Raw genomic sequence first — 21,316 nt, 5'->3', positions numbered from 1 at the left:
TTTAACGACTTATTTTTTATATGTCTCCCCAGTAGATTGTGGGCTATGATTATCCATGTCTGATGGAAAAGACTTGATGCACGAATGCTTAATGAAATGCTTGTTGAGTGAATGTTGAATGTTAGTGTGCTTGCTCTTCAGGTCAGTAGGACCAAATCTCAGGCCATCTGCATTTTCTCTCACTAGAGGGACACTCCCAGGTTTGCACTGTGCTTGTTGTTCTATTATTTGGCATCCCACCAATGCTTTCCTTGTGTATTTATTGAGGAAGGCTGTGATGATATTGCAAGACAGAAGTCAAAGCTATTTAACAGCATGGTTCATGCTTCTTGGTATGGTTTGCAGGTTCTAGGCACAGATGACTGGAAGGAGAGAAAAAGACAGGACACGTAACTAGGAAGAGAAATAAGGAATAAGGAGATCAAGAAAAGAAAGGATAAAAGGAGCTGCATCTGGTCAGGAAGGGCAGCTGCCATCCTAATTACCTTTGGTGCCTCATGGGCACACCGATGACACAGGTGTTTCTCCTTGTCTTAAATGATAAATAGCTCCCAGCTGGCCTACCCTAAGTGAATGACTCTCACAGGTGAATAATGGTTAGGTTTCATTAGGACTCAGGCATTTTTAGGGCTTCTTGGAAGGTTCATCAAGATCCATTTATTGTAGGAAGATAGATTGGTTACAGGGATTGGTCAATTGGTTATCTTCTCAAGCAATTTCTGAGCTAAAATCTGAACCACTGCTGTGCTCTTTTAGACCCTCTGCCTTTTTTAAATCACTAAAAAAAGAAAAACCAACAATCACTATGGAATGTAAAGAAATTACCTTGGGTACATCTTTAAGGGTATAGAAAGGGAGTCAAGGAATTGTTAGACCTCACTTTGTCTCTAACGTCCAGGACTGGGTTAGGGATCCTGTCCAGGCTTGCCCGTGGTGCCCTGTGCTTCATTCCTGGTAACTCAGAAGCCTATTTGCCCAACTCTTCACTATCCTGAAGCCAGTGAATGGATAATTTGATGCAACAGCACAGGTTTAATAGCAGGTTGAAAGCATCTAAAAGAAACAGTAAGTGCAAAGTGATACCATCTGGTAGCTTATCCATGAGCACAAATCATCTCAGTTTTCAGAATTCACAGGAATAAGAGTACCTACTCTGTGCCAGAAACGTCCCAATTATTATTTAATCCTCACAACAACTGTAGAAGGATGGATTCTAATCTCCATTTACCAACAAGGAGACTGATGGTCAGCGTGGCCTCATCAATGTTTACAGAGGTAAGATTTAAAACCAGCTGTCTCCAGGCTGTGTTTCTCCCCTCCATGTTGTGGTTCTCTCTCTCTCCCCCCCCCCCCTCTCTCCCTCTCTCTCTCTCTCCCTCTCCCTCTCTCTCTCTCTCTCTCTCTCTCTCCCCCCCCTCTCTCCCTCTCCCCCCCTCTCTCTCTCCCTCTCTCTCTCTCCCTCTCTCTCTCTCCCTCTCTCTCTCTCCCTCTCCCTCTCTCTCTCTCTCCCCCCTCTCTCTCTCTCCCTCTCCCTCTCTCTCTCTCTCTCCCTCTCTCTCTCTCTCCCTCTCTCTCTCTCCCTCTCTCTCTCTCCCTCTCTCTCTCTCTCCCTCTCTCTCTCTCTCTCTCCCTCTCTCTCTCTCTCTCTCCCTCTCTCCCTCTCTCTCTCTCTCCCTCTCTCTCTCTCCCTCTCTCCCTCTCTCTCTCTCCCTGTCTCTCTTTGCTCTGTTACCCAGGCTGGAGTGCAGTGGCGCCATCTCAGCTCACTGCAACCTCTGCCTCCCGGGTTCAAGCAATTCTCATGCCTCAGTCCCCCGAGGAGCTCAGATTACAGGTGTGTGCCGCCACAGCTAATTTTTGTATTTTTAGTAGAGACAGAATTTCTTCATGTTGGCTGGGCTGCTCTTGAACTCCTGCCCAAAGTGCTGGGATTACAGGCATGAGCCACCGTGCCTGGCCGATGCTGTTTTCTTGAGAATGTACCTGCTGCTTCCCCTCCCTTCTCCTCTTCTTATCAGTCTCCTCTTCTGCCTCCTTCTTCATTTTAATTTTTGGTCTATTGGACATACTGCCTTTTATGAAAAGAGTATATGTCTCATAGGGATATCTTTAAATGATAGGTAAATATAGAACAGTCACACTCTTCATGTGAGGGGCTGATAGCCTAGCCATATAGATATTTTTATCTTATTCTTTAAATAAATTTGGTACTGGGTGGAAATAAGACAAAGAAAGAAGAAAATCTACCGCAGGAAATATGTAATCCCCAGGCAAAACCAACAATTCAAGGGGACTGTCTGGGGGTAGTTTATTCTGCAAATTGGTGCATTTCTCAGAGTTTCTGGGGAAGAGAAATAAAAGGTGTTATATTACCTAACTCCTTTCTGCAGTTTTGACTGGACAGATTTCCTTACTTCCTGCCTGAAATGGTTATGAGGTGTTGGCATGAAGAATGAGAGATCTATGATGTCTCCCATGCGAGGGCTGGGTGCTGCAGGGAGAGGCCAGAGGCTTTGCTCTGGGCTCCTGTAGCACTTGTCATTGTTAAAACATTCATGGATGAAAGGCTACCGTGCGTATAAATTATTATTATTATTGCAGTAACCGAGAGTGTATCATTACATCTACAGGGTGTCTGAAAGCCCTGAGAAACTGGAATTTGTGGTGAAAAGTGGCTTGCCAGAGTTTGAAAGCCTGTGAGGGACTTGGGGATCATCTGATGGAGACACTGGACAACCTTGCAGCTTGTGGCAGGTGCAGGAGTGTGTGTGTACGTGTGTGTACACATGCATACCTGCGTGTGCGCATATGTCTGTGTACATGCATACGTGTGTGTGTATGTGTGTGTGTGCATATATGTGAGTTCCTAAGACTAAATGGTACAGAGCATGAGGTCAGAATTGTGGAGAGGAAGATACAAATGGACTAACAGCATCCCTACCTCTTGAAATGCTCTGCTCTGGGCATTTAGGAAAAACGTAGTGGTCCAGGGGAGGGATTGTTAGATGGGCTTTTTGGGCTTAAAATCTTCAGTAGAAAAGTCAGTACATTGTCTAGCTATTTCAAAAGGAACAAAATAAACACTTCGCCACTAATCCCTCATACAAAGTCAAAGATAGGCTACTTTTGGCCTGAATCTATGCAAATGTTTTCTTTCAGACTTCCCTTCCACCCTGAGAAGGGAAGAGCTTGCAAGAAACCATGAAATGTCTGTGTTTTGTGTGTGATTTCAACCAAGAAGTGAGACCACTGTTGAAAGTCTTATTTAAATATAACCAATGTTGACAAATTTTGGTTACATATAGCCACGTGTCCCACTTTAATTATCTCCCCAAAGCAATCAAATAGAAAGCTCCTTTCAAGCCGATGAAAAAAGTGAACTAGGGTTGGTTTGGGATGAATTTATTGTCCTCTGCCTGCACATTGCCACGTAGGGTGCCCACTCTTTTCCCAAGGGCACAGAATGTTGGGAGAAGAGCCCAGGCCTTTCATCTCACTTCCTGACTTAGAAGAAATGGTACTAATAGGTGTCTTCATGGATTTAATCATTCTAGTTTCTTATCTTCGTGTATCATACCTTTCCCTTGTTTCATATATTTTATCTGAAAAGGCTGCCATCTAGAGTTTTATCCCTTTTCCATCCAAGAATAACAAACTCAATGTCACCTTGTATTTCAATTACTCATATCCAGAACCATTCATCAACAAAAATGTGTAGGTAGTTATTATTGTCATTGCAAACCCTCTTTCATACAAATGCGCCCCCCACTGAAGAATGTCTCACACCACAAAGCAGAATAAGGATGTAACATGGGGATCCTCCATGAGTCCATGGAGGAAGAAACTGAGCCCAGCAGGATACACCTGACTACAAGATCCTGTGGTCTCATCTAAGGCCTTGCTCGGCTGCTATTGGGTTTAGGAACCTACGACAGGTCACTTCACTTATCTGGGTTTCAGTTTCTTCTAAGAAGGTTGGATTCAAGAACCTCTAAGGCTCTTTCTAGCTTTACAATTCTCTAAATCCCATAGTTTTGCATGCACTTCCATGATGTATAAAGCCAATCTTATCATTACCCTAATATGACTGCCTGAGACATTTCAGCTGGGTAATGATAAAAGAACAAGGCAGAACTAATGTGAACAAACTTCTTGAGTTTCTGGCTTTCTTTGCAATGTGTCTTCCTAAGGAAGGGACTTTAGTAATAATGTAGTCTTCCCTCTTCCCGAAGAGGCCCATGTGTAAGCATCTCAGACCTATAGGCTCATCAGCTATTAATAAAGCTAACACTATTATTCCCCAGATTCTCTTCGAATCTCCCTTGCAAATAACCAAGGAGATAAAGCTTCTTTTTGCTTGAGAGTTGGAACCAAAGCTGCAAACCTACCTTAGGAACACTGTGTACAGAGCCACTAGGCAAGGAATGGCAGAGAAGTTTCACATGGTGTGCCTGCTCTGACGGGTAGGATGTAGACAGCTGTGTTGGGAAGGGGGTTGTGTTCAGACCAGGATTGAATGGCAGTGTCTGCCATGGCCACTCGAGGCAGAGGCTGTGGTAGTGCACGTGCCAGCTATATGCCGTTCTTACCTTTGGACAAATAATGGAGACAAATTTAGGTCAGACTAAATGTCAGTTTCAGTTCCTTCAGACTAAGAAAGGAGGAGCAATGTGCAGGGAAAAGAGGTGCTCTGGAAAGAAGCATCCTCAAGTGCTTTCCTGAAGAAGAGGGAAATCAAAGGACATGTATGATACTAATGACAGAGGATGAAGGTCTGGGAAGCAGACTGGCTCTCCTTGCTCCTCAAGCTTGCAGACAACCTATTGTGGGAATTTGTGATCATGTAAGTTAATACTTAGTAAATTCCCATATAGATAGATAGATAGATAGATAGGTAGATGTCTCCTATTAGTTCTGTCCCTCTAGAGAGCCCTGACTAATACACATGGATATATTGTGTAGTGGTAAAGTCTGGGCTTTTAGTGTAACCGTCATCTGAATAGTGTACCCTGTACCTGACTGGTAGCATTTCACCCCTCTACCCTCCCCCTTTCTTTAGTCTCCAGTGTCTATTAGTCCACTCTGTATGTCCATGTGTATTCATTGTTTAGCTCTCACTTACAGGTGAGAACATGGGTTTTGACCTTCTGTTTTTGGCTCATTTTACTTAGGATAATGGCCTCAAGCTCCATCCATGTTGCTGCAGAAGACATGAGTTCTTTCTTTTTCATGGCTGAGTAGTATTCCATGGCATATATTTACCACATTTCCTTTATCCAGTCCTTCACTGATGGACACAGGTTGATTCCATGACTTTGCTATTGTGAATAGTGCTGCAATAAACATACGAATGGAGGTGTCTTTTGATATGATGATTTCTTTTCTTGCAGGTAGATACCCAGTAGTGAAATTGCTGGATCAAATGGTCATTCTCTTTCTAGTTCTGTGAGAAATCTCCATACTATTGTCCATAGAGGTTGTACTAATTTACATTCCCACCAACAGTGTATATGTGTTCCCTTTTCTCTGCAACCTTGCCAACATCTGTTGTTTTCTGACTTTTTAAGAATGGCTATTCTGACTGGGGTACTTTTCTTTTTTAAAGGTTTAAATAATGTGAATCACCTACTTTCTGTTCTTGTTCTGAAAGTATATCACTAGCTTTTCTTTCCTGTTCTTCTAACAGGTCCTTCTTTTTTCTTTGGAGTGGCTATAGTGAAAAACTACTCCATTTGCGGTTGGAGAAAACACAACATCAAGAAGAGCTTCTTTCTTGAAGTCTACTCATATTGGTGGCTGCTTCCAGATTGATTCAACATCATTATTTTTACCCAGCAGCTGGGCATTGGGGCACAAGCAGGCTCTTTGGAATTTGCTGAAAGATAATGGGGAGATTGGGTCAGGGGTACACCACCCAAATTGAGTCCAGTTGCGGTCATTCTGAGATATTCTAATTTTTAAAAATCCTGACAGATGGCTTTGCTCAAAGAACAATGTGCAATCTGATTTTTAGTTTCAGTTATTGGCCAGTTTTATAAACTGAAGGTAGGGTCATTTGCTGAGTTTAAAGTCAGAGCCTGAACTTGATTCAAAGTTTGAATTCATTTAGAAGGTATGAAGTGATTACAATGTGTCAGGCATCTTACTAAGCTCTGGGGAACAAGAAATAAGACACAGTTTTCAGGGAGTGTAAACATTTCCTTTTATGCACATATATTGTATGGGGTTTTTTTGTTTGTTTAGTTTTGTTTGTTTGTTTTGAGACAGAGTCTCGCCCTGTCCCCCAGGCTGGAGTGCAGTGGTGCGATTTCGGCTCACTGCAAACTCCGCCTCCTGGGTTCAAGCGATTGTCCTGCCTCAGCCTCTTGAGTAGCTGGGATTACAGGTGCCCACCACCACGCCTGGCTAATTTTTGTATTTTTAGTAGAGATGGGGTTTCACCATGTTAGCCAGGCTGGTCTCGAACTGCTGACCTCAGGTGATCCACTCACCTCTGCCTCCCAAAGTGCTGGGATTACAGGTGTGAGGCACCACGCCTGGCCCCTTTTATGCACATATATTGGCTTTAAAATTAGTATACATGTGCAGCATTGCCCCCTTATCCAAGGGGGATATGTTCCAAACATGGATATGCTGGACAAAGGGATGATTCAGGTGCCAGGTAGGATGCAGCAGTATAGTGAGAGATTTTATCATACTACTCAGAAATGACGTACAGTTTAAAACCTATGAATTGTTTATTTTTGAAATTTTCCATTTAATATTCTGGACCGCAGTTGATCGCAGGTAACTGAAACTGCAGAAAATGAAACCACAGATAAGGTGGGACTACCGTAAGTATTCGTTAATTCATTTAGCGGGGCTCTATACTAGGCATTGGCAGAAGGCAATGACTGTGACATAGTGTTTACCCTAGAATCATTACAGATAAACACTTCACTGCAACAAACTATACTGACCTGGTGGGGAGAAAAAGAATAACAACTTCAATTCCAGTACAATGTGATGAAGTGCATGAAGGAGCACATTCCAGGCAACCAGAGCAGGCTGCCCTGAGGTGCTGAGCTCTGCAGGGTCTTGAAAATGGTAGCTCTTAGGAGAATTGTGTTGAGGAAGAACTCTGGTGCATGGCTGGCCAGATACCTTGGTTACCAGAAGAGTCACTCCTCTCTCATTTCAGCTGGTCTTTTTCATCAAATTAGTTTTTCCTTACCTTTCCTGTCTGATTTCTTTTGGCATCCAGTGAAGGCATATAAAGTGTCACCTAGAGGTTATTTCTGTCTAGCCAGCCCACTTCTCCCAGGTGTCTGGAAGAGTGGGTTTTGCAAAGGGTTGTTAGGCAATTGTGTGATTATCTCTTTCCCTTCTTCCTTTTGTTTTCCCTAGGCATATCTCTACTCTGTTAGAAGTGAACACACACAGTTTGGAACTACAGTATCTAATTTTCAAGGAAAGAGCTCATGGAGAATTGCTTCTTACAGTGGCTAATAAGTATCTGTCTGCAGTACTACTTCAGAAAGTCCATGTATCTCTGAGTTGATATAGCAAATTTCAATCAATCTAGGTTTTGTTCTGTCTTTAGCTCCAAGACAACGATCCCATTGGTCTGTTGTATCTAATGACCAGAGTTTTATTTCTGTTGTTACTGCTGTTGGACATTTCTTGGATGCTTGATACTGTGATCTGAGCATTTTTATCATGGCTGACAAACACTTGTATTGGTCTATCTGGAAAAGTCCTTCCCTGTTTGAATCTTATTTTTCTCTGTGTATGGAGTTCATTGTTTTTGAACTCTGAGTTTCGACTGTGACCTAAGTTGTTCCTTGATGCACGAGGAATTGGGGCAGGAACTCATTTTACTTAGCATTTAGGTACTTTTTTTGGCCAGCATTGTTTTTTAGGGTAGTTTCGATCCAGTATATTAGACATCTTCAGATCATGACCCCAATTTGTCTATAAGGGGCACACACTTCATCTCCGGCTTTCTGTTTTTAATGTGCCCTTGGATGAGGAAGCCTAAAAAGCAGTTATGCAAGAGTTTTACAAAAGAACACCTGGGAGAAATCCCCTCAGAGTTAACACAACACAGGTGAGTGTGAGGACGGGGTTGAGGTAGGAGAACCACACCAGTGATTGCATGAAGACACCGACTCACTGTTTTTTTATGAGGACAGCCTCTTTCTGGCAGCCAATTATATTTTATTGTGTTCCAGTAAATCAAAATAACCAATTGTAACTAAAGGAAATTTCAAAATGAATAAGATAGAAGTTCAACCATTATTATACAAACATGCTACTGTATGAATACTATGTTAAGAAAAATTCCAAAACTCTACCTATAGGGAAAAATAAAGGCTGGAAGGAAATAATCCAAAACATTGACAGAGAAGGGACTATGGAGAATATATCCTCCACATTTTTCCATTTTCAAAACTTCCTTTCATGTACACATGTTGTGTTTTTAGGATAAACATACAGAGAGATTTATTAATTTATGTTGCTGGGCTCTATGCTAGGCACTGGTGATAAGGCAATGAGCAGGACATAGCCTTTGCCCAAGAATTACTACAAATAATCAATTCACCATAAGAGCTACTACAATTAATATGTGAAAAGTGCTCCTGGGAGCTCAAGAAATAAAAAAATAGGAAAGCTCTGCATATATCTTAAGTTTATCCCTAAGTATTTCATGTTTCAGATGCTATAGTAAAATGTAATGGTAATGTTTTTCACTTTATTTTTGAGACAGGGTATCTATCGCTCTGTTGCCTAGGCTGGAATATAGTGGCATGATCATAGCTCACTGCAGCCTTGATCTCTGGGCTCAAGTGATCCTCCTGCCTCAGCCTCCCGAGTTGCTGGGACTACAGGCACCACACCAGCTAATATTTTGTATTTTTTGTAGAGATGGGATTTTACCACATTGCCCATGCTGGTCTTGAACTCCTGGGCTCAAGTGATCCACCCACCTTGGCCTCTGAAAGTGCTGGGATTACAGACGTAAGCCACAGTGTCCAGCCTTTCTTTCAATTTTCAGTTACTCATAGCTAGCATATAGGATGCAATTGGTTTGTATATTGACCTCAAATCCTTTGATCTTGCTAAATTCATTTATTAGACCTACTGCCTTTCTTTTTTGTAAAGTCCTTAAGATTTTGTAAGTGCATGATCATAGAATTATCAAATATAGGCTTTTGTTTCTTTCTTTCCAATGTACATATGAATGGCTATAAGCACATTAAAAAATGTTCAAAATTACTAGTCATCACAGTGAGATACCACTTCACAACCTTCAGAATAGCTAATGTAAAAAAGACGGAAAATAGTTTTGGTGAGGATGTGGAACAACTGAAATTCTCACATGCTGTTGGTGGGGAAAGGAAATGTTACAATCACTTTTATTTACATCTTTTCATTCTTTATTACAATGTCTAGGAGCTGAAGTACAATGCTAAATTGAAGTGGTGAAAGTGAATATCCCTGCTTGTTCCTGATCTCAGTGGAAGGCATTCCATTTTTTATCATTTAGTATGTTATTGTAGAAGTTTTGCTTTTTGGGTTTGTTTGTTTGTTTTTGAGACAGGATCTCACTCTGTTGCTCAGGCTAGAGTGCAGTGGTGCCATCATAGCTCACTGCAACCTTGAATTTCTGGGCTCAAGCAATCCTCCTAAATAGCTGGGACTACAGGAGTGCACCACCGTGCCTGGCTAGTTTATCATTATTGTTACTATTTGTAGAGACAGGGTCTCATTTTGTTGCTCAGGCTGGTCTTGAACTCCTGGCCTCAAGTGATCCCACCACCTCAGCCTCCAGAGTCATTGGGATTACAGGCATAAGCCACTGTACCTCGTGTATAGGCTTTTTAAACATAGATTTTCCTGGCTGGGTGCAGTGGCTCATGCCTGTAATCCCAGCACTTTGGGAGGCTGAAGCGGCAACATCGCTTGAGGCCAGGAGTTTGAGATCAGCCTGGCCAACATGGGAAAACACTGTCTCTACTAAAAATACAAAAATTAGCCGGGCATGGTGGCTCACACCTGTAATCCCCACTACTCAGGAGGCTGAGGCACGAGAATTGCTTGAACCTGGGAGGCGGAGGTTGCAGTGAGCCGACGTTGGGCCACTGCACTCTAGCCTGGGTGACAGAGCAAGACTCTGCCTCAAAAAAACGACAACAAAAGAACATAGATTTTCCATATCAATGGGAAGACGTTATCTCCTATTACTAGTTTACTAGCTCTCATTATGAATAGGTGTTGAAATTTGTTAAAGGTTTTCTGAGCATCTAGCGAAATAATTTTTTTGCCTTATTAAAAATACACAAATTACATTGATTTATTATTGAATGTTAAATCAGGCTTTACATCTCATTTGTTCAAGATGTAGTCCTCCTTTTACATTTTGCTGTATTTGACTTGGTACATTTGGCTAAGAATTTTTTGTGTCTGTATTCTTGAGGGATATTGATTTGTAGTTTCTTTTTTGAAACAAGGTTTTCAGCCTGGTTTTATACCAAACTAATGCTGGCTAAAAAAACAAAACAGAGACAGAGTTGGAAAGTAACTCTTTTTTTTTTTTTTTTTTTTTTTTTTGAGACAGAGTCTTGCTCTGTCACCCAGGCTGGAGTGCAGTGGCACGATCTCGGCTCACTGCAAGCTCCGCCTCCCAGGTTTATGCCATTCTCCTGCCTCAGCCTCCCGAGTAGCTGGGACCACAGGCGCCGGCCACCACACCCGGCTATTTTTTTGTATTTTTAGTAGAGATGGGGTTTCACCGTGTTAGCCAGGATCATCTCGATTTCCTGACCTCATGATCCACCTGCCTCGGCCTCCCAAAGTGGGAAAGTAACTCCCAAAAGACGTTATGTGAAATTTGTATTTTTTCTTCCTCAAATGTTTGATAGAACTCACCACTTTCCTTCTGGAAAAGTTTTTATTAATCCAATTTCTTTTAAGACAAGGCTATTCAATTTTCTATTTTTTCTTGTCTCCATTCTGAAAATTTGTGCCTTTCAAGAAATTTTTCAATTTCATTTACGGTGTTGAAACTCCTGGTGTAAAATTGTTCATGATATTTCTATATTCTCATTTTAATGTTTGTTGGACCTGTAGTGAAGTTCTGCTCATATTGGTAACTTGTGCCTTCTCTCATTCTTTTTGATCTTTCTAGAACACTATTAATTTTACTGATTCTTTCAAGCTAAACTTTTTTGGCTTTGTTAATATTTTTTGTTGTTTATTTCTATTTCTCTGATTTTTTTCTTTTTACTCTTTACTACTTCTTTCTTCTACTTACTTTGCATATAGTTTGGTCTTCCTTTTCTAGCTTCCTAAAATGGATAGTTCAATTATTGATTTTATACTATTTTTTTCTACTATCAGCATTTAAAGCCATAAACTTCCCTCTAAGTAGGACATTTGCTGCCTTCTGCAAACTTTGATATGTTGTGTTTCATTACTATTTAGTTTAAAATATGTTAAAATTTTCTTCATAATTTCTACATTGTGTCATGGATTATTAAAAGTGAGTTGTTTGATTTCTAAATATTTGAGGTTTTCTTAAAATTTTATTGTTGTTGAGTTTCAATTAAATTTCATTGTAGTCAGAAAAAGCACTCTGTAATATGGTAATCTTTTGAAATATATTGAGACTTGTTTTAGTCAGCATATGCTCTACTTTTGTGGATCTACCATATGAATTTAAAAGAATATATATTCTGCATTTGTTGGATATAGTCTGCTATAAATCACAATTAGGTAAAAGTGGTTGATAGGGTCACTTAATTCTTCTAGATCCTCAATGACTTTTTTTTTGGTCTAGCTAGCATATCAATTACTGAGACATTTGTGAAAGTCTGTAACTGTGATTGTGGATTTGTCTATTTCTCTGTCAATTTTTCCTTGGTTATATTGAAGCTGTCTTATTAGATACATAAATATATATAATTATTATGTTTTTCTGATATATTAGGTTGGTGCAAAAGTAATTGCGGTTTTGGCAAAAAACACAATTACTTTTACACCAAGCTAATATTTACCCATTTGCCATTATAAAGTTTCCCTCTTTGTCTCTAACAATACATCTCATGTTGAAGTCTATTTTTTCTGCTATTAATATAGCCAATCTTATTTTCTTGTGCCTACTATTAGCATGACATGACTTTTTCAATCTTTTTACTCTTAACCTATTTGTTTCTATATATTTCAAGGGCACCTCCTGTAGACAGCATATAATTAATTCTTCATTTCTTATTCAGTCTGACAATCATGTCTTTTGATTGGATATCTGACTAATTTAAATTTGGTGCAGTTGTTGAAATAGATGATTTTAGGTCACCATTTTGCTGTTTATTTTGTTTGTCTTGTCTTATCTCTCTTGATGCTTGTTTGTTCCTCCTTTACTACCTTCTTTTGTGTTAATCAAACATTTTTTAGTATTTTGTTTAATTTCTTTACTGGCTTTCTAGCTATATCGAGCTAATTATTAAATTTTAATAGCATTGTTCTAGAGGTAACAACATATATCTTTCATCTTTCACTTGTCCCAATCTACTTAGAGTTCATACTGAATAATTTCAGATAAAATATAGTAACCTTGCAACAGTATATTTTAATTTCCCTGTCTTCCTATTTTAGTGTTATTGTTGTCATTTGAATATGAAATCAATATGTTATCAACTCAATAATACAGTTTTACAAATTTTGCTTATGACACATTTGCTGGTGTCATTTCCTTTCAGCCTCAAAAACTAACTTTATAGGTATGAGCTGAGAGAAGTGAAAATAAAAAAAATTAAATTTGAAACCTACTTTAGCTTTTGTAGTAGCACAGTTCTGCTAGCAATTAATTATCTTAGTTTTGTTTATCTGGCAATGCCTTAATTTCTCTTTCATATATGAAGGATAAATTCTTTGGATACAAAATTCTTGGTTGCCAGTTTTTTTCTCTCTCCAACAGTTGAAATATGCCATTCTAATTTCATATGACTTTCATTACTTTGATGTAAAGTCACCATTGATCATATCATTGTTCTCCTGTATGTAACATGCCATCTTTCTCTGGCTGCTTTAAAGATTTTCTCATTATCTTTGACTTTCAGCATTTTCACTATGAAGGTTTATTCTGGCTAGGGTTTGCTGAGTTTCCTAGATTTGTAATTTAAAGTTTTTTCCATAAAATTTTTGAAGTTATAGGCCATTCTTTCTTTTAACACTTTCCTGCCCCTTTCTCTTCTCTCCTATTCTCTCCGCCTACCATTCCAATTACACCACTTTTTATCTCTTGATATAAATAGGTCTCTGATGCTCTGTTTATTTTTCTTCAAGTTTTTTTCTTTGTGTTATTCAGATTGAGTAATTTCGGTTAATCTCATTTAAAGTTTATTAACTCTTTCTTCTGATACTTCAATCTGTCTTTAAAACTAAATTTTAGTTAATTTTTTATTTAACTGAAATGAGTAAATTCTTCACTTAAGTGATGGTGCTTCTTAGCTCTAGAGTTTCCCTTTCTTATAGTGTCATTCCTCTGTTGAGATTTTCTAACAGCTCTTTCATTAAGACCATTTTCCTTGAATACTTTGAAAGTATTAGAATACCTGATTTGAAGTTTCTTTCCTGCTAAATCCAACATCTGGGCTCCATTAAAGTCAGTTTCTATTGACGTTTTTTGTTTTTCTTGAGTATGGGTCACATGTTTCTGTATCTTTGCATGTTTAGTAATTTTTGTTTGAAAAGTGGACATTGTAGAAAATACAATGTGACTACAATCAGTTATGTTCTTAAATACTCGTGTTATTGTTTCATTAAGCAATTAATTTGCTTGAACTTAAACAGAAAACTTAGTCTCCTCTGTGGTGTGTAGCCGTTGATCTTGTCTCAGTTTTTATGACTTCCAGCTGCTAAATATCCTCTTGGTAAATTCAGAGAACTCATCTGGTGCAGTTCTATCTTTACAGACTAAAATCCTGTCTGGCCTTTGCCTGCTTTTCTAATGCCTTTGTCAGATTCTGCCCCACATATGCATACTTTACTAGCCAACCAATGATGTGGGCAAAAATTTTTACTCAAGATTTGGGGGTTTCAATCCTTTTCCCATTATCTTATAGATTTTCCCCCAAAATTTCTCCTGTCCTCTGTTCTCTGTTACCTTGAGCCTGGAATGTGACTGATATTTTTCTTTGCCCTGGCCAGGGGTATTGGGGAACATCTTCAGGCAGGATAACTGCAAACTCCCAATTCTTCCCCCTTCGAGGTGTTTAAAAGTAATCTGCCTTCTGTCTTCCACTTTTGGATGTGTTCTTATTCCTATAAATAGTTGTTCTTTTTTTTTTTTGTTTTACAGATTTTATAATCGTCATCTGTAGGAGGGTTTATATAGCGACTCCAACACCATTACTAGATGTGTTTATGGTTATGTCTTTAGTCTTTGTCTTCTTTATGTACAGCACATGAGCACGAGGGTAGGTACATACTTTATTACTGTACATCCACGATTTCACACAAAATAAATGCTTCATAAATATTTGTTGTATGATTAAATAAAAATTCTGACTGCTACTGCAATTACACAATTGATTCCTCAGTGTACATTCACAAATATTTATTGCTTTAAAAAAGAAAGATTCTCATAGTCTCAATCACAAGGTCTGTCCCTTGAGGAGCTAGTCCTCATTTTTTTTTTACAGGCTTTTTGGTCACCTTCTGAAACAACAAGCGAGGGGACCATATTTACTCAGTGGAGTTTCTTGTATGACCAATAAGAGAATATACTACAAGCCAATTATGTGTCTTTCTTCAACTTCTAGAAAAAAAGAATGTCATCTGTGAGTACTGTCAATGGTCTTGGAGATTCCACAGGCAAGGGGTTCCCAAATATGAGTGGATGTGGCTTGATGACCACAAGGCATTTTGCTTGTGTCTTAAGGCTTATTTCATTCTGAAGGTCACAGACTATGACTTCCCCAAGTGAGAAGTGAGCCTCCTCCCAACCTTCACTTTGGACAAGGGGCTTAGCCTACAACTATTAACAACAACCAGGCACCAACCAGTGTAGGAAGCAGATGCATTTTTCTTAGGCCAGTTGCTATTAAAGCAGAACAAAACACTTCCCTCTATACAGAAGAGTTGGTATCTTTTAGATTGCAGCTGTTTTTGCTTCTCACTGATGGCTGCATTCCTGTTTTGGACAAGAGACAATTATCTACAAAGTGTGTAATATCATCAGGGGGCCTGGAATTAGAGGCAGTGTATCAGCATTAAATATAAGTAATTATTATTACCAGTTTACACTTTTGGATATGGGGGTTATTTTGCTTTCTACTTTGAGCTACACAGATGAAGAGTACTATATAGGTGTTACTGGCTGCATGTTGGGAATGTTATATATTTAAACAGTTTGCAGTTAATTAAGAGTATTGACTTGGAACTAAATCACTGGTCTCACACAACATCTGTGCTCTCTTCCTATCTGTCTATGTATTTAGATGGCGTCTATCACTGTGGTATCTAAGTGCTCTGAAAATCTAATTAGGCTAATTTCAACTTCCTCTGTGAGGGAGAAGGATCTACCTCTCTTCATCACCCTTCCTGCCAGAGCCTTCTTGAAGGGAGTCATTATTATTCCTTGAAGAGAAAGGCAGTTGAAAGAGAGCCTCAAGCAAGAAACAGCATTTCTCACCTTCCTTGAAAGTTGGGGGTTTGGCTTCTAGAAGTGTTTTCAGCTTGTAAACGGTACCAGAAAGGCAAAAGGGCAGATGCTGCTGAAGAGTCTGGTAACATGTATACAGGGGAAGGAACTCTGGAAATTTCCTTGCAAGCCCTGAGTTAAAGAATTTGCTGGTAGATGATGCTTGATTGTGTACTTACAACATCCAGGCCACCACCACCTGACAGACGCACAGTGTTTGTTTATCCAAGGAGCATAAAGGCAGTGTTCTCTTTCCAACAATGAACAAGTGTTGTTGTTGTTCCGTCTGTGGGTCTCTGTTAACATTCCGACATCTTAATTTCTGGGCTGAGGAGAGCTGCCTGATTTCATTGGTTTTCGATGCCTAGCCTGCAGCTAGAGGTATGGAGAAGACAGCAGCACAATCATTATGCGTTCCTTTTTGTGGTCGTAACCCACAAGGGTTACTCTTCCAGAGCGAATCCAAAGGCATACATTCATGCACAGGCAGAGAATTGCAGTCACACAGCAGAGCTTGTTAGTTGGAAACGAGAAAGGATCAGAGATGGCCAAGTATGTTAGTCTGAGCTGGGCCAGGAGCTCTGTGATGGAGTATGAAGGAAAAAGAGGGAGGTTAAAAAAAAATCACTGCTTTACCTCAGTCACAGCTCAAACACAACATGGCTAGTTGTTATCAAGTTTTTGATGTTAAAGTTTTTTTTTTTTTTTTCACTCTCTGCTTGAAATTTGCATTATGTAGAGCAGTGGTCCCCAAACCCCGGGCCATGGACCAGTACCAGTCCATGGCCTATTAGGAACCGGGCTGCACAGCATGAGGAGAGCAGTGGGCAAGCGGGCATTATTGCCTGAGCTCCGCCTCCTGTCAGATCGGCAGCAGCATTAGATAATCACAGGAGCACGAACCCTGTTGTGAACTGCACATACAAGGGATCCAGGTTGCCCGCTCCTCATGAGAATGTACTGCCTGATCATCTGAAGTTGAACAGTTTCATCCTGACACCACCCTCAACCTTGGTCTGTGGAAAAACTGTCTTCCACAAAACCAGTTCCTTCTGCCAAAAAGACTGGGGAACCACTGATTTAGACTATCCAAGAAAATGATGGGAATGTTTGGCTGGGAATATTGAGATCAAGTTCATTTTTAAAAAAGGAATTTTTAAATTTCCTCATAAACTGGGTGCAGTGGTGCCTGTCTGTAATCCTAGCTACTAGAGAGGCTGAGACGAGAGGATTGCTTGAAGCCAGGAGTTCAAGACCAGCCTTGGCAACACAGACCCCCATCTCTAAAAGAATATTTTAAAAATTGTCTCTTCTTTTTTGGGATACAGAGTTTCACCGTGTCACTCATGCTGCACTGCAGTGGCATAATTATAGCTTACTGCAGCCTCTACCTCCCAGGCTCAAGTGATCCTCCCACCTCAGCCTTCTGAATAGCTGAGACCACACATGTGTACCACCACATTTGGCTAATTACAAAAATGTAGACATAGGGTCTCACTATTTTGTCTAGGCTGGTGTCAAACTCCTGGGCTTAAGTGATCCTCCTGCCTTAGCCTCCCAAATTGTTGTGAGTACAGGCATGAGCCACTGTGTCCTCCTTCTGGCAAAGACAATTAAGAGTACTGGCAGTATAAGAGATTTGGTATAAAAAGACTGAGACCAGAAATGGTAGGGTGGCAGCATTTGGGACTGTCCCTCTCCTCCAAGCTCCCCTTGGTCTCTGGAGAAGGATCGTGGGGCCTCTCTACAGGTCTGTCCAGGATCTCATTAAAGAGACTAGTGGGGACCTAGCATTAGAGAGATTTTATAGCCTGAGGATGTGCCCAACTGTGACAAGAAGATGACTGCTGACCAAAGCCAATCCTTCACCCTCAGAAATTCAAAGACCAGTCCTCGGAGCAATAGCATCTTTCCAGAGCTGACACTCCGAGGAGAGCGCTGCACGTGGCACTGCCACAGATATGAAAAGCAGAAACTTCCACGTGCAAATGACCGCGTGGAAAGAGAGGAGAACAGTCCTCCCCACCCCCTCCCTTAAGCAACATAATTACTAGCTGAAATCTCTCTATGAGGGTCACCTAAATGACTGAGCCATTTCACTGGCCCATTAAAGGAACACAAAAATTTGTTTGTAAGCTTAGTCCTTGGCCTGCCTCCACTGACCTTCTAAATATGGAAGACCTAGGCTAACTTCAAGATTTCTTTGGGAGGGTGTGGATTCCCCTGAGTTGCTTCTCTACCTAAAAGTCACATTTGTGAAGATGTAGCTACCACCGTGGGCTGGTCAACTGCAGGATGGGGCATCTCGGGGCTGCTTTCGGAAAGATATGGTGCTCAACGAGAGTCACTCAGAGGGCAGCAGAGTGATCGCCAACAACACTGAGAGCATCCCAATGCCCTACGATCATGTGAAACTTACGTTCAGTGACATGAATAATGTGCCAGAGGCCTCCAAAGGGACCAAGAAAGGCACCATCTACCTTACCCCTTTCATCTTTCTGTCCAGGGCGAAGGATGCCACGCAGTCCTTCGTAATGTCATTTTATCTCTTGAAGGCCTATGAGATCAAGCAGCCTGTGTTTGACACAAACTGCATCAAGGGAACAGTGAACACCGAAGCAGGCGGTGGCTGGGAAGGCTCTGCTTCCGGCAAGTCCGCCTTCACGGCAGGGGGCGCCACTGAATCTGGACAGCAGGTGCTCCAGGTGACATCTCAAGCGTCCAGGGGTGAAGCCCTCAGTGGAGCCTACGGCCACTCTCACGTGCCTGGCAGGACATGTGTCTTTCCCCCGCCAGTCACTAGTGGAATGTATCCCTGCCCTCCTGGCTGCCCTTCTCCACCACCTTCCCCTGAGTTCTATCCAGGACCTCCCAAGATGGACAGGGCCATGGGGTATGTGCAACCCCCGCCACTGCCCTGTCCTGGGCCCATGGAACCTCCGGTCAGCCCAGATGTTCCCTGCACTCCTGCAGCCGAAGCCAGGGCCACAAAAGCAGCTGCCAGCACCTATTATAACCCAGGCAAACCACACCACGTCTCCATGCCCACGAAGCAGCCTCCGCCATCTTACCCGAGGGAAGATAAGAAGACCCAGTAGACGCCTCCTACCTCCAGCCTCCTGCCTACCTCCCAGTCCTTGTTTCCTACCCCTTCCCTCAGGGCTGCGGCTGGGGCTGGGGGAGGTGAGAAAGGGCCTCGTTCTTCCTCTAGGTCTGATCATAAACAGTTACCAGGAACGAGCGCTGGGGGACAGTTGGGTCCCTGGCCTCGGGAGAGGCCCTGCTCCGCTTCCCAGCCGCATGCTTCCCTCACATCTCGGGGCTCTCGGGAGCACAGGGCGTTACCCCCGCCCCCCACCCTCCCGGTCCCATTTCACTCTCGTAGCTTCTCCCTACACAGGGACTCTGGCCACCTCATCCACTGCAGTCCAGCTCTCTTGGTCTGGCAGCCACTCTACACTCAGCCTCATGAGCCGCCTCAGACCAGCCAGGTGTCTTCCCAGAGACCCCCGCCAGGCCTGGTTCACATTCCCTCCTCTGGTCTGTGCCTGGCCTGGAAAGGCCACCATGTGCGGACGGTCAGCCCAGATTCCACTCAGCCAGGTTCTGGCCCCAGCCACTGTCACCCTCCCCTTCCCTGTCCTGGGTCATGGTGTTGCCAACTCCATGTGACTTTTGAGGCTGTAAAATGAGCTTCTAGGACTTGAGTGGCATCAGGACAAGCCCACTGAGGCTGGGGAGGAAGCCTCCCTGCTTTCTGCTAGTGTTTCTGGAATTTGCTTTCCGTCTCCTCTCTCTTCCCTCTAGAAGGGGCTTCTCTACTGGAACTAGAGAATGCATATCTGTGCCTTTGTGCCACCTGGGTGGGCCAGGAATGAGGGCCCCTGACCCTGCATGCTGGCTGGAGCCCCTCAGCCTGCCTCTTTCCTATAAGCCTCATGCCCCCGGACACACTGACATTTGCTCTAGTTCATTCCTGCACTGGCCATGAAGTAAGGAGATGGTTATTTAAAGAGAATTCCCTATTTATTTGACAAAAAATCCAGTTAATATATTAATGTGAAATAAATTCTGTTTGTACCTTGATTTGTTGGCCGAAAATGTGAAATAGTAAAGATGAAGTAACAGGGAAAAAAAAGTAGGATGGTCCAACTCCTCTCTGCCTGAGAATCATTGGATGATCTTCTCCGTGTCTTTGACTTTTTATCTGTAAAAGAGATTATACTCAGGTCCTCTGTTCCATATGTGGGATGACAATAGGGGCAATATTTAATCTGGACCATAAATCTTCAAAATCATTTAATTTTCAGCTCTTCTGCCATGTAATGCAACTACCACTTTATATATTTAGGCTACTTGATACTTTTGAAGTAATTCAATATGACTCTTTCAAGAGCAAGAAAATGTATCAGATAGCTTTTTGAGGCCATTTAGGGATGGAGGCAAGCCATGAGTTCAAGATTCAAGGGAATATGAAGAGGCAAACAAATAACACTTTCTTCCCCGCTGGAGTTACTAAACAGTGCGAGAAATAAAATAAAAAATATGACAGACAAGAGACCACAGTATCACCTTCTTATCCTGATACTGGAGAATGTGGCTTATATCTGCAGGCAAGTCGGTTTCATAATATAGAGCCTCAGAATGAGACAGACTTTATGGGTGGGTCACATTAGCTGGATCACCACCGGCCCCCACCCAGGGGAGCCTGCCCCAGAGAACTTGGGGTGTGGAGAAGCAGGGCAAAATGTTTGCTTCCTATGGACTGTTAATTCTCAAGAGCAGGAAGAGAGAAAACGGCTGGGAAATATGCTCAGTTTCTTCTCTCCAGCTCATTCCCGGATAACTGATTCCTCCTCCTCCCAGGGGAAGAGTGAAGGACAATATGGAACGAGGCCAGGAGTGTTGTGTTCTCTCCAAATGGAAGGAAACCTCTGGAATGGGAAAGAAGCATTCCCTCCTAACATGGTGTGTTCCTAGAAGGTAAGTGAGTATTTTCAAGAAGACTTCTTATTTTTTATACCACCCTTAGAGAAGGTAATGTTGTCTAGTCATCTACCACCCTTAGGAGTTAGGCCAAGAAACTTGGTACCCAGGGATTTTGCTAAGTCAGTTTTTGTATTTTAAAACAGCATCAGGAGAAGACATTTAACCAACTCACCCCAGTATAATTCTTGGATTTATATTGCTTTGATATGTTCAAAGCTATTTATTCTTTTCTGAATTTTAGAAAGTAGGACCACACCTGGGTGACAGAAAAAAAAGCTTCATTCTAGATTTTATCATGATAGCCACGATCCTCTTCAAAGTTGTACTCACTTATATGTAACTTCAAAAAGCATTCACTTATTCATTCTTATATCTACCTATTCAGTCAATTATGCATGTATTTTAAAATTCAGTAAGAATTCATGAGTTGTTTTTCACCTATGTGCCAGATGCTATACTAGGCAGGAGGAAAACAAAACCAATTCTGTGTATATAAAAGGTGCTAAATAAGGGGCTCACATAGTCCTAAAAGAGCTAGGACACTGTATTGGCCAGCACCCCACCACATACCTATGTGTTTATCTGCTTTAGACCCTTTAGATCCTGATATGCACTGGGGGTTGCAGAAAAGAGACATAAACA

The 21,316-nt window shown here is 41.6% G+C and overlaps 1 pseudogene, besides 1 other annotated feature; it reads left to right on the top strand.

Annotated features, from left to right (window-relative positions):
* Nucleotides 13,546-13,746: a silencer, noted in NCBI's record as "peak3077 fragment used in MPRA reporter construct". NCBI's record gives its function as "represses an SCP1 promoter by STARR-seq MPRAs in K562 erythroleukemia cells {active_cell/tissue: K562}" and the evidence as "EXISTENCE:reporter gene assay evidence [ECO:0000049][PMID:32103011]".
* On the top strand, nucleotides 18,014-18,784 carry WBP2P1 (WW domain binding protein 2 pseudogene 1; annotated as a pseudogene).

This window comes from Homo sapiens, chromosome 18, assembly GCF_000001405.40.
Source record: "Homo sapiens chromosome 18, GRCh38.p14 Primary Assembly".
NCBI classification, from domain to species: Eukaryota; Metazoa; Chordata; class Mammalia; order Primates; family Hominidae; genus Homo; species Homo sapiens.
This window is presented reverse-complemented; position numbering and strand designations above follow the sequence as displayed.